At 37.1% G+C, this 16,679-nt stretch overlaps 1 long non-coding RNA gene across 1 annotated transcript in view; it reads right to left on the bottom strand.

Annotated features, from left to right (window-relative positions):
- The window catches only part of LOC105376235 (uncharacterized), a 76,146-nt gene that overhangs the window by 1,771 nt on the left and 57,696 nt on the right, over positions 1-16,679 (bottom strand). Inside the window, exons 3-5 of the long non-coding RNA XR_930270.3 lie at positions 6,582-6,674; positions 6,121-6,222; positions 5,393-5,455 (exon numbers count right to left, since the gene is read on the bottom strand). This is a non-coding gene — a long non-coding RNA (uncharacterized LOC105376235). The remainder of the gene's footprint in view (positions 1-5,392; positions 5,456-6,120; positions 6,223-6,581; positions 6,675-16,679) is intronic.

Here is a 16,679-nt window from a genome sequence, read left to right as displayed (position 1 = left end):
ACCATGATACACAGGAAACCTGGTCAGGTCCACAATCAATAGCTTCAGAGTGGATCCAAAGGCCCCTTTTATTTTTAGGAAAGCACTTTATAGTACCTTTTAGGGCTAAATCTAAAAATCTAACCCACCTAAATCCACCCTAGTTATGCAGGAATATCTAAGGTGAATGACAGGATCTAAGGTAAATTCTGCAGATTTAGAGAAGTTTTCTGTTCAGTGATATCAATTGGTTGTTTTTTGTGTTTTTAAAAAAACAACTCATACTTCAGAAAATTGCTTCCCTGGAAAACAATATTTTTCCTAAATTTGGATTTTGACTTGCCCAGGGCTATAAATCATAGGGTGTTCTTGTGGAGTTATCAGCAGCTGCATACAAAAGGAGAGTAGATGGAAAGGAATTGTCAGCAGGGGTTTGTTGATTGGATATGTTCATCATCTCACTCTGGTGAAAAGCTTGTTAAAAAAAGAAAAAAAGGAATGAACAGAACTCAGCATTGGAAAGAACACAGACTGAATACCCTTACTTGGTATTATTTACCAAAGCATAGACATGTACCAAACAAGGAAGAACACCTTGTATACTCTGGATCAAGGGGCCATAATAAGTGTAAGTGGGTAAGTGTAAGGTTAAGGTTAAGGTGAATAAGTGTAAGGTGAAGCAAATGTATATTCTCTGTCATCAATTACACAGGAAATTTTGTAATCCTGTTGCAGAAGATGAGGCCTGGGGCAAAATGGCTTTAGAAAGGGAGAACAAGGCCAGGCGCGGTGGCTCACACTTGTAATCCCAGCACTATGGGAGGCCAAGGTGGGTGGACCCCTTGAGGCCAGGAGTTCAAGACCAGACTGGTCAACATGGCAAAACCCCGTCTCTACTAAAAATACAAGAAAATTAGCTGGGCATGGTGGTGCATGCCTGTAATCCCAGCTATTTGGGAGGCCAAGGCAGGAGAATCGCTTGAACCTGGGAGGCAGAGGTGGCAGTGAGCTGAGATCATGGCACCGACCTCCAGCCTGGGCAATAGAGCAAAATTCTGTCTCAAAAAAAGAAAAGAAAAGAAAGAGAGAGAAAAAAAGAAAGAGAACAAAAGGTTTCCACTTTTATTTATTTATTTATTTTAATTTTTTTATCTTTTTCTGAGACAGAGTCTCGCTTTGTCGCCCAGGCTAGAGTGCAGTGGTGCAATCTTGGCTCACTGCCACCTCTGCCTCCTGGGTTTAAGCAATTCTCCTGCCTCAGCCTCCCGAGTAGCTGGGACTACAGGCACATGCCACCACGCCTGGCTATTTTTTTTTTTTTTTTTTTTTGTATTTTTTAGTAGAGACCGGGTTTCACCGTGTTAGCCAGGATGGTCTCCATCTCCTGACCTCGTGATCTGCTCGTCTTGGCCTCCCAAACTGTTGGGATTACAGGCATGAGCCATTGCTCCCAGCCAAGTTTCCACTTTTCTATGGGGACATTACATAAGACTAATGTCAAGTGTCAAGTAAAAGGCAGATGCTTGGAAAACCCCATGCAATTGTTGGGGGAGGTGAATGGGGGTGGGATGGCATTGGGAACTGATACCTGCTTTTAAAGGAAGACTGAGAGCTAGTCAGGTATGAGTAGGTAAGGAACCATGGCATTGCATTTGACCTGTGGATTCTGAATGAAGCCACTTCCAGTGGCAATTATAAGTTACTCTCTGTGTTGTGTATCAATTTCATTATCCCCAGCTTCTTAGGAGTGTCCCCTCACCCTTGGTCAAGTCAGGAGGTAAGAATGATCCCAGTCTACTGAGGACACTGTGCCCACTGGAGTGGCAATCTGGTGAGGACCAATGGCAACCAACGAAGTTAGATGATACCACAACCAAGAGGCAGATGGCAGGAAATAAATAAAGAAATGGCTCTGTCTACATGTGCTAAAGTGGAACTTGGAAAATCCCCTACAGGATCAAGAGACATAGGTGGGGTGGAGCACCATTTTTTGGCAAGTAGGCTGGCTGAAGCTGATACTAGAGTAATTTTGCTATAAAAAGAAATGTGGCTTATTTTAGAGTACCGAGCTGCTTGTCTAGAGGAAAACAGCTCACACAGAGATGAGGAAGACACAGCTCACAGGATACTTACAGTTGGAATAAGCTATTTCAGTGCCTTTCAGGACTCACATAATCCTTTCGATGCCCCTCAGTGAGCTATGCACAAGTGTTCATTTTTCAATTCCCATTTTGGAAAATAGCTGAGCCCTTTACAAAGCCTAGCAAGAACTCCACATGTGAGGAAACATAGAAAAGGGCTTCTGAAAACTTATCCTGAAGAAACAAATTCTTCAGTCTGGAAAGGAAGATGAGTCAATCACACATTCCAGAAGAGGTAAGTTACCCAACATATTCTTATGTTGCACACAGGCCTGGCTCCACAAGCATGAGATAAGTGCAGCCACACAGGACCAACACTTGGAAAGGCACCGTACTTTGGGCTTAAAGCTCCACAGTCACTTTCTTGAAATCCTTAATTTTTTGTTTGAACTTGTATTGTGGAAGTGAAATCTGATAGGACAATGGAGCATGTTTCAGGACTTGGAGTCTTAGTCCTATGGACCCTACAGCCTGCTGCCTTCTCACCTCCCCTGGATAGGTTTTCAGCCACCTGCTCCAGGTCCCTGGTACTTAGTACCTGGGATTCCAGCCAGCCATCCCCTCCAAGCCCCTGCTCTGTGACTGTTGCTGCCCTCCAGCCAGGATTGTGAGGACCCTGGTAGTGTCATCAGGGGTGAGAAGCCTATGTTCACTGTCATCATCCATCTCCAGTTGGGGTCTGCTCATGGTGCAGGGTGGGCAGATCAGGATCAGATGTGCATGCCCTGTGGTGTCTCTAGGAGTGTACGGCAGCAACATGCCCTGCCACGGGTTAGTCCCAGTATTAGGACTGAAATTCTTTAGTGGTTTCCTATCCCAGTGGGTTGGAGCAATGAACTCTGGAAAGAAAAGACTGAATTCTGTGCTCCCAGTTAGGGCATTCCACTCCAGTGTGGAGGTTGATGGGAAAGAGAACCAGGCAGCAAGATGCACACAGCAGATTATGGGACAGACCTTGGTCACCTGGGAGGGTCTGCTCACATGCAATGAGTATCTTCCTGTTAGAGGGTGACATTGAATAGTGTTAAATAAAGTTTATAGGAGGGCATGGGTTTGGACTGAGCTCCTGCACTCGGCCAAACAGACAGAACCAAAGTGGAGTTACTTATGTGGAAGTTCCACACCACCAAGCCAAAACTAAGTTGTTTATCTGACTTTTCAAGAAGTCAGAAGTGAGAGAAATAATAGCTAAATCCCCAAACAGGCCAGTTTTACCCTGAGAAGAAAGTCACATTTGCTTTAACTTTTACAAGAAAAATAACTTTGAAACAACCAACCCACTTTTTATTCTGTTTCTGCTTTCCTCAGCCCTTTTCTGTCTATTAAGTGAACTTCCTCTGCTCAACTCATCAGAACACTCATACTATTTGATAAAATGAGGTGCTGTCCAAATCTGGAATTGCAAAAGAAACCCAACTAAGGTCTTTAAATTTATTGTAATTTTGTCTCTTGACAATAGCAAACAATATGACAACTCGGGAGGAGACTGGTGAAGAAGGAAAATATTATATTTTAATATAGTTCGTGGCACTTTTTATGTTTGTTAAACAAGGAGCCTCACAAATTGTATAGCCAGCCTTGGTTGCATGCATAGTTTTGTGGCTCTTCAGATAGTCCTTGTGTTCCTGCCTACAGCCTTTATCTGCCCAAGAAGGCAAGCCTGGACATTTCTCAAAGACAGTGCCAGGACTTAGAACGTTGAAAAGCTGAGAAATCTGGTGATAGAGGCAACAGAGAAGGATAGGAGCAAACCAAGAATTAGTAGAAAGTCTGAGAAGATACGAGCTGTCCCCAAAGTTTCAGTTTAGCCAGCTTACTGCACTTTCTAGAAATGGGTGGGAAGAGCGCCTAAGCAAAATCTATCCCTAAAAAACCAATCTGCAGAACTATGTGAAGTCAGCAGCATGGCTAGAGGGTGTGTTTCTTACTGGATTCTGAGGGGGTTTTTAGGTGTTTTTTTCACCCAAATATGCCCAAGACAAACTTAAATGTTACACTTATAAAACTCCAATACATCAGAGAGGAGAAAGCAAAAGAAACGTCTTAGCGTTCACCCCATACAATTTACAGATGAGGAGTAGGAGATCTATACCACTGCCAAGGGGGGCAGAAGAAATGCTCAAATGTATTAGAATAACCTGGTTAGTGACAGAATTTGGAAAAGAACTTCTGAGACCCAATCCAGGGAAGTTTCCATTAAATCTGAGTTTGTTTCTTTCTTTTTCTTTCTTTCTTTTTTTCTTTCTTTCTTTCTTTCTTTCCTTCCTTCCTTCCTTCCTTCCTTCCTTCCTTCCTTCCTTCCTTCCTTCTTTCTTTCTTTCTTTTTCTTTCTTTCTTTCTTTCTCTTTCTTTTGTTCGTTAGCTTTCATTTTTACAAATATTAAATGTGAAAAGGCCAGAATTTGCCTTAAAATATACCATGTGTGGAGTGTCTGCTTGCTACATGACAGGCCTTGAACATTCACACTTTAACATCCAACAGTGTTAGAAACATATTATCATGACCCTATTTACAAGAGAGGATGTGAAGGCACAGAGAGTACAAATTGTGTAGTCTGTATATAAGCTGAGATTTAAATCCAGGTTAGTATACTCTAAGCCTGTTGTAATGGGTTCAGTGAAACCCAAAATTCAAATCCACCTGGAACCTGTAAATGTGACCTTATTTGAAAAGAGGGTCTTTGCAGCTGTGATCTGAGGTCATCCTGGATTACCTGGATGGGTCCTGAATCCAGTGAAAAGTGTCCTGATAGGATACAAAAGAAAAGATATAGGATATGGTTTGCCTGTGTCTTCACCCAAATCTCACTTGAATTGTAGCTCCCATAAACCCTACATGTTGAAGGAAGGGACCTGATGGGAGATAATTGAATCATGGGGATGTTCACCTCCATGCTGCTGTTCTTGTGATAGTGAGTTCTCATGAGATCTGATGGTTTTACAAGCGGCTTTTTCCCCTTTTGTTTGGCACTTCTCCTTCCTGCCATCCAGTGAAGAAGGGCTGTTTGCTTCCCCTTCCACCATGATTTTAAGTTTCCTGAGGCCTCCTCAGCCAGACAGAATTGTGAGTCAATTAAACCTCCTTCCCTTATAAATTAACCAGTCTTGGGTAGTTCTTTATATCAGCATGAGAATGGACTAATACAGACACACAGAGAAGATGATGTAAAGATAGAGGCAGAAAACTGGAATGATGTGTCTATAAGTCAAAGAATGCCAAGGATTTCTAGCAGCTCTTAAAAGCCAGGAGAGAGGCATGAAACAGATTCTACCTCAAAGCCTCCAGAAGGATTCCACACTGCTGACACCTTGATTTTAGACTTCTGCCCACCGACCTACGAGAGAATAAATTTCTGTTGGCTTATGCCACCAAGTTTGTGATAATTTGTTATGACATCCCTAAGAAACAAATACCTTTCTTTTTCACATCTTATAGCTTTATATATATACTTTTCTTTGTTTTGCTCCCTTTTAGTTTCAAGGCTTGTCCTGACAGGAAGATTCTATAGATAATGGATAAAAAGGAATTAAAAGAAAACATCTCATATCTGATTGCTATTTTCAAAGCCATTTCTGGATCAGTTGATTCCATTACACAAGCAAGAATTCTTAAAATGAATTTCCTTGGAAAAATGAGAGGAAGCACCCATAATAAATTACAAGCCATTGCTCCAGTTGCTTTTTGTTTAAAAAAAAAAAAAGACCACTGAAATGATTCATAAATCATGTGATTTTAATACTGCAGATACCATACAAAACTTTGTTGTTTACCAGGACTTTTATTTCACATGCATGATCTCATATCATTCCCAAGTCAAGCCTATATTTTTGTGTTATTTTATTCATGAAAATACAATGGATCAGTGAGTTACCTTCCCAGGGTACCATGATTAGTATGTGTTAGAATAGGGACTTAAGCTCAGCTCACTTGCTCAAATGCTTTTACCATTATGAAATAAAGGCATAGCCCCCTCGTATTCTTGATGGAGAAGTGACTTACTTGTTGAACTTTTTGTAGAAGTAGAAGAGAAGCCAAAAGACAATTGGAAGGATTACACTCCAGACTTTTACTTTTCTTATCTGGTCTGGTTCAAAGCATTTTCTGAATAAAGAAACATTTTATTGTGTGAGGCATTTTGGAATTCAATATTGGGATTAAAGTCATAAAACTACCAGACGTTTTAGAGCAAAATCTCTAAACGTGCTAGAGAATGTACTGTGATGCCCGCCACTTAAACACATTTGAGACACAGACTTGGAAGAGGAGCCTCATTTTTCTAGTTTCCACAAATGGTCATATTCAGGGTAGTACTAAAATGGGAGTGGGGGAATGCTTTGAAGCTTATGACATTTGTACACTTTTCCCTGCCTTTATAACTTTGATCCTATCCCTGAAACAGAAGATATTGTCATCATTTTACAGATGAGGAAATTGAGGCTTAGAGGAATCTAATGACTTACCCAAGGTAACAGAGCAAGAAAAGCTTCGTCGCTGGGATTCTGATTCTGGATTTACACACTCCTCATTCCATCTGACTTCATAATGAAATCACACTGTAGAGGTAAATTTAATTCCTGTTAATGGACCAGAAATGTTATGAAGTGTCATCTGCAGGGTAGGACGCTGAGTGACAGAAATCATTAATGGCTCCAAGTAGCTCACAGTCAAGTAGGAGAAAGGGGAAAAAATGCCTCAGCACAGTACCTACATTACAACTACCATTCTGAAGGCAGTTGTCCCTCCGTATCTGTAGGGAATTGGTTAAACAACCTTGAGAGTACACCAAAATCCAAGGATGCTCAAGTCTGTGTTATAAAATGGTGAGGTATTTGCATATAATGTATTCACTTCTTCTGTATAATTTGAATCATTTCTTGCCTACTTATAATACTTAATACAATGTAAATGCTTTGTAAATAGGTGTTTAACTCTATTGTTTAGAGAATAAAAACCAATAATGAGTCTGTACATGTTCAGTAGACATGCAATTATTTTTTACTATTTTCAACCTGTATTGGTTGAATCTATAGATATGGAACCCATGGATGTGGAGAGCCAACTTTACTTTCAATTTTAACAGTTTATACCTGAGCCTTTACCATCAGCTCTGTGTAGTTAGGCATATATTCTGTACTATCTAGCATGCCAACTAGAAACAACAAGGTTCTGACTATTAGTAATTAATACAATACAGAAATGTACTAGCTGTTTTATTTAGAATGCTGATAATTGACAATTCCAGGGCTGGTTCTGTGGCTCAATGATGCCATCAAGGACCTAGATTTTTATCTGTGTGCTTTTCACTTCATGGTTATAGAATAGCTGCTCCAGCACCAGACCTCACATACTAGTGTCCTAAAGCAAGGCAATAAGAGTTCTGTAAAACGGTTCTCTTTTTATCACAGACTTACTCTGAGCCAAGCGTTGTACTTCTCTTATTTAATTTTCATGGAAACAAAACAACCTTGAGAATATCATATTTTCTACACCTTACAGGTAAGGCAGTTAGATTTGTCCCAAGTATGAGCTCAGAATTCAAACTCAGGTCCAAAATATTCTGAAGGGTAGGGCTTTAACCATCAAGATGCTATGAAACTTGCTTTGCTAAACATGATAAAACCATTAAGGTAAAATGCATACATTAATCATATATTTGTAGGCTTATCATATAGTGGTTCAAATAGTTAATAAAATTTATTTCCCTCCTTCATTTTACAGACAAGGACACTGTAGGAAAGAAAAAAGAGAATCTTTGAAAGTCATACCACTGTTTAGTGGAGAGCCAGGTCCCAGGCCTCAACTTACATCTCCTGCTCCACCTTTCTCCTTTTATCCCGTTGGTTTTATTCTATTTCTGCCTATGACAGGATGGGCCTAAGATGAGTATATGCTTTATATGTTTCAGTGAGAAGGTGGGGAAAGGGAAGTAGAGAGGGGTACACTTTGCTGCCATATCTCAGGCAAGGCTCGAATACCAAGAATTTTCCTCCCTTTCTCATAAGAAAATGTCAGGAAAGAAACCACTTCAAGATGCTTCTATCTTCCTATGCAGGGGGTGGGGGTGGGAAGGAAGGAAAAAGAGAGAAAGAAAAGAAAGTAAAAGCCTAGAATGTCTTTCCATCTATATTACCAGAAAAAAACACTCTTTTAACCACTGCTTACCTGCTTACATCAGATGAGAGACTTTTTAAAATCATTTTTCTTTTTCTTTTTTTTTCATACCTTCACTTCCTGAGGTTTAAGACAGTGCTGGTGAACGTAAGCAAATGAGGTGGAACAGTGTGCTTAGGTTTGCCCTGGCTGAGAGAATCATTCCTCTAATGTTCTTTCTATTCTTTTCTCATTCTTGGCTATGCTGTTGTCACTTTCTCTGCACTGAAATCTTTCCAAGCCTCATGATTCCTTAAGTCTTATGTATGGTCCATAAAAAATAGACTCATGATTCCTTGTTTTGGTAGCAATTTTCAATTAGCTTTGACCCTGGTGATCCTCTCCAAGGTCCTGTGATTTTTGTTGCCTCATTTAATGTAACTGATGAATTTGGGTGGGGCATGGAGTAGAACCTAATAAAGAATTGTACCTCCGTAATGGAAAACAAAAGCCAATAATATTTTTACATACATTCTGAAAAATTTAAACTATAGAGAGAATGTAGCATGCATATTGGGGTCTTAAATCAGCCTAATTTTCCAGACAAATTAGATAATTAACAAAGATCTTCTTAAAGGGTCATTAGCAAAGTAAGATTTGAACATGTGACAATTACAATACATGTTTTTCTCATAAAACAGCCAACATGATGACTAGTAATTAACCTCAGAACTGACAGAGCATTATTCCTTCTGTTTCTTTCCCAAGCAAAATTGTACCAAAATGGCAAGGAAATCCCAAGGGATCTGTTAATTTTCTCAGTGCAAATTAATTTTATGTATTTATTATTTATACCATACATTTGACCAAACAAAATCTATCTGGCATCTCAATGGTAATGTCAGTATCTTGAAATCTTATTTATTTCTCACAATCTATAGTAAAATGATTTCAAGTCATATCTCCTGCTTATAGAGATAATATGTCTAGTTTTTTTTTATAAAACAGGAGCTCTAGATAATATATTGTGTTTATTAAATGGAAGGTAACTAGCATTTTTTGAGCACATATAAAGTGCTAGGTATGAAACTAGATGACTTTTTCTGTTCATTTGATTCTTCCAACAACTTTCTTGGATAGGTTTTATTAATCCCATTTCATGGGTAAGAACCCTGAGGATTAGAGGAAAGCAAAATTATTGGAATAGGATCCATCTGGTTTCTAATCCTGTGCTTTCTTTTACACCACAGTGCATATGCACACACACTTACAAACATGTACTATAAGCCCATTTATATTTTGTACTACAATTTTTCTAATATGACTGCAAGGTAGAGCATGAAAAATGATCCATTTAGGTTGAGTCCTTCTAGAGTCACACATTCAAAGTCAACAAATGCAAGGCATACCATTGTCATTTGTGATCCTTTCCAAATATCTAAGTGTATCTGTGAGAGATATAACCTGTGCTAGCTTGATGACACTCATTGCATAGGCTAGCCATGAACCTTTTCGAAGAATGTGGAGAAGGAATGGCAAACAAAATGTGGCTGCATCCTATCCATCTTCTTGGGTTGCCTGGGTGTTTCTTCCTCCAGGAATCATTCCAACTGCAAACTGAGTGTTTCTTTTTCCCTGAATTCCCCTTTTTAGAGCAGTGTTGCTACAACACTCATATACATACAAATTATCTGGAACATATGTTAAAATGCAGTAGGTCTGAGGTGGTGCCTGATACCCTGCATTATTAAGCTTCCAGGCGATACTGATGCTGCGAGTCCATAAACTACTCATTGAATATAGCAAGAGTTTCGAGCACTCTCGACTTCTTGCCTTATCTGATTCTTTTTTTAATTTATAGGCCTTACTTCTCCAACTGAATTATTGTCATTTTTTGGCAATCTGATTGCAGCTTTAAAAATTCATGTTCAAGAACGTCCCTGAACAATCTAAATGGACATTCAGTGACACTATCACATACACTTGTTTTAATTATTGGAATGGGATTTATCATTTCTCTCCACACCCCTATCCCCGCCCACACACATTATAGAGTAAGAGTGTAATTTTTTTTCAGCTGGAACCCACACATTAAAATATTACGTGATACAGAGTAGACAAACTCTTTTTTTCTTACTACCAATTTCATTTTCTTTATAGTTAATGTAAGATTCTACCATAAACATGGTATGGTAACTCTAATAGTTTTCTGTGTTCTTTAAAGTTCATTATTTTTGTAGTTTATAGCACAGCAGTTAGGCTGAATTGAGGGCTACTAACAAAAAATGCCATATTAAACCAAAAGCTTTTGTGTATGGATACAAGTGTCTGTGTAAGTATAAAATATGCATAGTATAAAATATAAAATAAATTATATATATTCCACTTGGATTCCTATCCTATCTGTGCTGGTTTTTGAGATTCTTGGTTAAAATTAAGTAAAGCACAATCTTTTTCCTGGGAAGAAAAAATCCAGTATTGATTTTTCTTTATTGACCAATCATACATTGCAGCATAAATATTTATGATGGCTACACATAATAAAAAGAATAAGTTAAATACCACAGAGGAAAATGAAATGTAAATGGGAAATGATTCCTCGTGGGTAATACATCACTTTATAATCTTATGTTACTTTAAGAAGCACCTAACAGCTTTCTAGAATCAATGCTCAGATTACAAAACCTTCATCATCACAAACAGACATTTGCAATTTGGTCTCCTGTCCTCTTGGGGCTCACTCGTGTCAGGTTTATTTGGCGATTTAGCAAGTGAAATACAATATATATGCAAAGCCCTTCTAAAGTGGCCGGGTGTTTAAATTGAACTCTTCTAATATTTTAGAGCGTTTTTGTAGATTCCCCAAATGTCAGAGTTGAAAGGAGCCATAGAGATCATTATTCCATGGTTCTTATTTTATGGTGAAGGGAAAGGAAATACAGAGAGGAAAAGTGCTGGTCTGAGATCACACACAGCACGTTGTTAGTTGAGCAAGAGTTGTATGTGGCTCCCAGTCTTCCAGTACAGTGTCTCTCCTGAGCAAGTCTCTAATTTTGGAGAGCAGAGAGTGATGTGGAAAGGGCAGCAGGGATGCAGTATGAGTAGAGTGTGGATAGCTCAGATAATAAAAGATGAATTTTCCTTAAATGCTTAGCCAGGCAGGTTTAAAATTCTAAAGGACACAGTAAAACAGTAAACAGCAGCTCTTTTTTTTTCTGGAGTTGTTAATGACTTGGTTAGAATATGTGGAGACAGCCATTTGGTTGGACATCAATTTCTGTCTTATTTATCTCAGAAGGCTGGTGAATGATACTGAAGGGTTTTCAGTATCAGTCTCTAAAAGTCTTTAAGTGGTAGTCACAAAGATGTTTAAGAAAAAGTGGGTCCTCACTGCCACCTTCTTTTCCATTACTTAGTCTTGTGAGGCAAGTAACTTCCATTTTTATAGACTTAGCCCCTTTTGATAATTCAAGAAGGTGGAAGATGGGATACCCCAGTAAATATTATCTACAGAATTAGAGATTCTAAATGTACAATGCATATGTGTTTGAATGTGAGCAATATTAGTAAATTAAAATTTATGTTATACAGTTAAAAATACACTATGCATTTATCTTCTACATACTATTTATGGGAAAGAGGAAGAGAACATAGGACTTCTGCCTTTTTTATTGTCTTTCAGTCTCTTCCCAATTATTGTAGCAGGAAATATATAACGCCTCCCTTCTTTGTCATCAACCTCCTTAAACATGCTTACTGAACAAGATTCTCAAATGGCAAATGGTTATGAAAATACATTTCAGTGAGATAACTTCAGGAATCAGACATATATCTAAACTGGGTAGAGATTATAAACCCTTTATTCAAAACTGTTATGTTTGTCCTCAAAAGGAAGTGCTTTTTGGGTGAAATATGTGTGTCTCTGTGTGTGTGTGTGATTCTATCTATCTATCTATCTATCTATCTATCTATCTATCTATCTATCTATCTGCATGTATGTATTTTTAAAGAAAAGAGCAGAAGAAAGTAATAGCTGCTATCTTGCATCAAAAATGCAGATATTCAAGGTAACTTGAGTATTCATACCAGGTCAGCAATACAATGCAGTTTGAGAGTTAAAAGAACTCCCTCAATAGCTCTAAAACCAGAGTCCGGATGACGAAAAGGATACCTGATGTTTGAATTGCCTTTGCAACTACATTTTTTAGTGCGTTCAAATTGCAGCTCGATAACATTTATAGTTCTCTGCAGCCATAATATACCTCCATGGGATTTGAAAGGAGATCAAAGAAGCAGGAAAGATATTTCTATTCCCAAATTCTTACTAGGAAAAGATCGGCACATGTCAAATAGCTTTTAATGTCCACAAACCCAGTTCTGTATACACACAAGGCCATTTCCATTAGTAAAACCTACACTTTTCTCATCGAAAATCTGTTCAACTCCAAAGAGGAAAGAAACTCTGCTGTGAATGTTAATAGTTATAGATGTTAGCCTTCAAAGGAACTTTCTCAACATTTTAAGTCCCTTTCCCATTGGTTACAGAATATAAACATGCCTTTTATTAAGAGAACTTGCTCTACATAAATTCCTACTTTTGCTTAAATAATTGAAGTAGGTGCAGGAAAAGTAGAATATTTTAAAGAAAGGATTTTTCACTTTGTAAACAAGGCTTGACAAATTTCAGAAAAGCATACCATATGCATAGCATATCTCTTCTCTAAGATCCACATTGCACATATATTAAAATGGAACAGAAGCAAAAGTAAACAAATTAAAATGATTTTCTCTACAGAGGAGGGAGGAGACAAATAGAGGGTACAAATAAAATCTAGATTTCTCTGAATGTATCTCATTTTGTAAATTTTACTTTGGAGCCATAGTAAATATATTACATCATTCTAAAAAAATAAAAGAAACCGGGAAATATATAAAAATTGAAAGCAAAACATAATAAATGGATGTGTGTATTCAGCTGGTGACAAAGACACACACGAAAGATTTATTTTAGTTGACTATAAAGCACAATGAAGTGGAAATATACACCAAGAACAAAATAAAATGCAAGAAACTTCTTAACTTGCTTTCAGCAGTCATATTGATAGTAAAAACATTGGCTTGTATTCTAATATTATTAGCTATTTTAATTGGATAAAACATATAAGTGCTTGGGAACCAAAATTTTTCATCAGATAATTTAAAATCAAGATGTTAAACAAACCAAAGATTACCCAATTTTGAATTAGAAATAGTATGACTTTGTGAAATATTTTATCTTAAAGATATACATATTTCCTAGTTCTGTCCACAAAAAGCATTAGAAACAACGTTTGACCAGTACTAACCAGTAGCAAGAAGTCCCTCTAATTTCCAGGTGACTGCTTCAAGATGTCAGTTCCCACTAACGAGAACAAGGGCACCTTGAAGAAATGATTAATTACTTCTGGATCTGGTGTCAGAAACTTACAAGATGAGCCTGAGATATTGTATCATACCTAGAAAGCAACTCTATTAAGAAATGAGAATATGTCAAAAGGACTTAGGAGTTCCCCAAAAATATTCTCAGGAGTTGGCCAAAAAGTGGGAGAGTTTGGGCCATGAAAAGACTAATAACTGAAATAGATTAAAATATATACAATGTTTTATAATCCATGAGTTCATAAGGACACCTTTAAACAAAGTCACAAACTCACATTTTTCACCTTTATATGAGCCAATATATTCTGAAAACTTCTAAACAAGAAGAAAAACACAATCATTAATTCTTCTTCTCCATAATAACTGTATATTATTATCCAAATATTTATGGAAGATATTTCTTTATAGAACAATTGCCGCTATTAAACCTAGGGGTAATAATAGACTCTTAACATTTTGGCATCCCTCATGAAATAATAATAAATCTAGGCAATGAACATTCATGGATTTTAAAACCTTAGGTGAAATGCCAATGAGGAACTTTAAGAAGTTTAATCATCATTTAGCTCCTACTTATAAGTGAGAATATGCAGTATTTGGTGGAGAGTTCTGTATATTAGCTAAATGATGAGAGCACATGGACACATAGAGGGGAACAACACACACTGTGGCCTATTGGAGGGTCAAGGGCGAGAGGAGGGAGAGGATCAGAAAAAATAACTAATGAGTAATAGGCTTAATACCTGGATGATGAAATAATCTGTAGAACAAATCCCCATAACACAGGTTTACCTGTGTAGCAAACCTGCACACGTACCTCTGAACTTAAAGTTAAAAGTCTGACATTGTGGAAAGATTAAAAAAAAAAAAAAAAAGAGTAAGATAAATTAGTTAAGTCATGGAGATGCCAAACACTAAGTTTGGAAACTTAAACAGGAAGCAGGAGACAAAAATTAACAATTCATAATAAATCTGATAAGGCCTAAAAATTGTTCAGTCAGATGGAAAACACTTGAATCAACTAATTAATCTTAACATCAGAAGAATAGACATCATCAAACATGAATTATCTTCTGATATGATGGAATAGGAACCGATAGATTGCCTCCTATAAAGTATTCAAACCTTACCAGTTCACAGAAAATACAAGACTAAAGTAAGATATTAAATAAAAATGCAATATAAAAATTCAGAATGAGAAAAATTCTGAAAGACAAGATACCAAGTTTCTGCAACACACAAATTACATACAAGCTCAGGTGCACAAGCACATACGCACAAAGAGGGATAAGGAACCTGTACATTAAAATGCATTGCAGAGACATATCATTCAGATTAATTGTTTTAGATCTTGTTTGCATCCTGCCTTAAAATTATGCTAAAATTATATATATTAGACAGTCAGGGAAATCTGAATATGGGGCACATATTTTACACCATGAAGAGATTTTTTTGGTATGATCTTTATATTGTGGTTATATTTTTCTGAAAGATTCTTAATTTTAGAGATGTATATTGAAATATTTATGTTTGAATGGCCAAGTGGTGTCTGGACTGGCTTCAAACTAATCCAGTAGTGTCTTGGGTAGAGGGGAGACAGGGGCAGGGAGATGGGGTGAATGAAACAAGATTAACAACATACTAAAACTAGTTGAAGTTAAGTATTTATTATACTAATTTCTCTATGTGTGTATATGTTTGAATATTTCAATGATGAAAAGTTTTTAAAATGGTAAAATAGGGTTTAACACATATTTCTTATAATGATAAACCACACTAAAGAATTAGTACATTTTTTATAGCAAGTAACAGAAACTCAGCTTAAACTAGTTTAAGCAAAAGGGAAAAAAACGAAATGTATTTGATGTATTTGTTTAAATTACTGAAAGTTCCAGAGATGGAGCTGGCTCAGAAACTGAAGATTCAAATGTCAACTTGTTCCGTTTCTTTTTCCTTTTGGCCCATCCCTGTCTCTCTGTAACCTCATCTTCCCTGTTTCCCTCATCCTCTCTCTCCTCTTGTTTCCACTTCCTTTTCTTTGTAACTCATTTCTCCTTCCTGCAGCCAGCATTAATTTATGAGAAGAGGGAGACAAATCCAATAATATACAATCCCAGTTTAGTATCCCTAGAAAAGACAGACTCTCTCCCAGTGAAGGTCTTACTGGTTTCAATAACAGAGTTGAATTGAATTATTATAAGCCCCAGTCATGGCTCAGTCACCTCTCGTCCACTTAAGGATTCTCTCTGGTTTACTTTATTCTAATTTTTGGCTCTTTCATCCCTAATTCTTATTATCATTTATTTTCCCTGACCCTTAGCAAAAATATTGCCTCATATTTTGTTATAATATACTTTTCTATATAAGTACCTTTGTAAAATATATATTATGGTTTTGCATGCATATATACTTACGATAAATATCTCATCTAAAATTAATCTTTTTTGCCTTTAAAATATTGTTTTAAAAATAATTTTATTCGGGTGTATTTACATGCAGTAAGATGCACAGTTCTTAAGTGTACAGTTAAATGAGTTTGACAAATGTCTATTCCTGTGTAATGGACACCATAGCCAAAACATAGAACATTTCCATCACCCTGGAAAATGTCCTTCTCTCCCTTTACAGCAAATCCCAAAATAGATGCAACTACTGTTCTGATTTCTATTACCACAGATTAGTTTGCATGTTTAACTTCATAAACATGGAATCACATGGTACGTACTCCTTGATGTCTGGCATCTTTTATTCCACTTAATATTTGTGAGATTCATCCAAGTGTTTGCCTATATCAGTAATTTTTAAATTATTATTTTGTCACTTATTAATATTCTACAGTAAAAGTATAACACTATGTTTTAATAAAGGTATGTGTGCATCTAGTTCCTTTCTTCTGACTACTTCATAGCATTCTGCAATATGCACCTTGTATATTTTATTCATCCAGTCCCCTGGTCACAGACGCTTAGGTTGTCTCTCAACCCCTACCAGCAGAAAATAATGCTGCAGTAAACATCTTTGAATCCATTCCCTTTAGGATCTGTGTGAGA

Source organism: Homo sapiens, chromosome 9 (genome assembly GCF_000001405.40).
Source record: "Homo sapiens chromosome 9, GRCh38.p14 Primary Assembly".
NCBI lineage: Eukaryota > Metazoa > Chordata > Mammalia > Primates > Hominidae > Homo > Homo sapiens.
The sequence above is the reverse complement of the archived record's forward strand: the minus strand, read 5'-3'. Positions and strand labels throughout refer to the sequence as shown.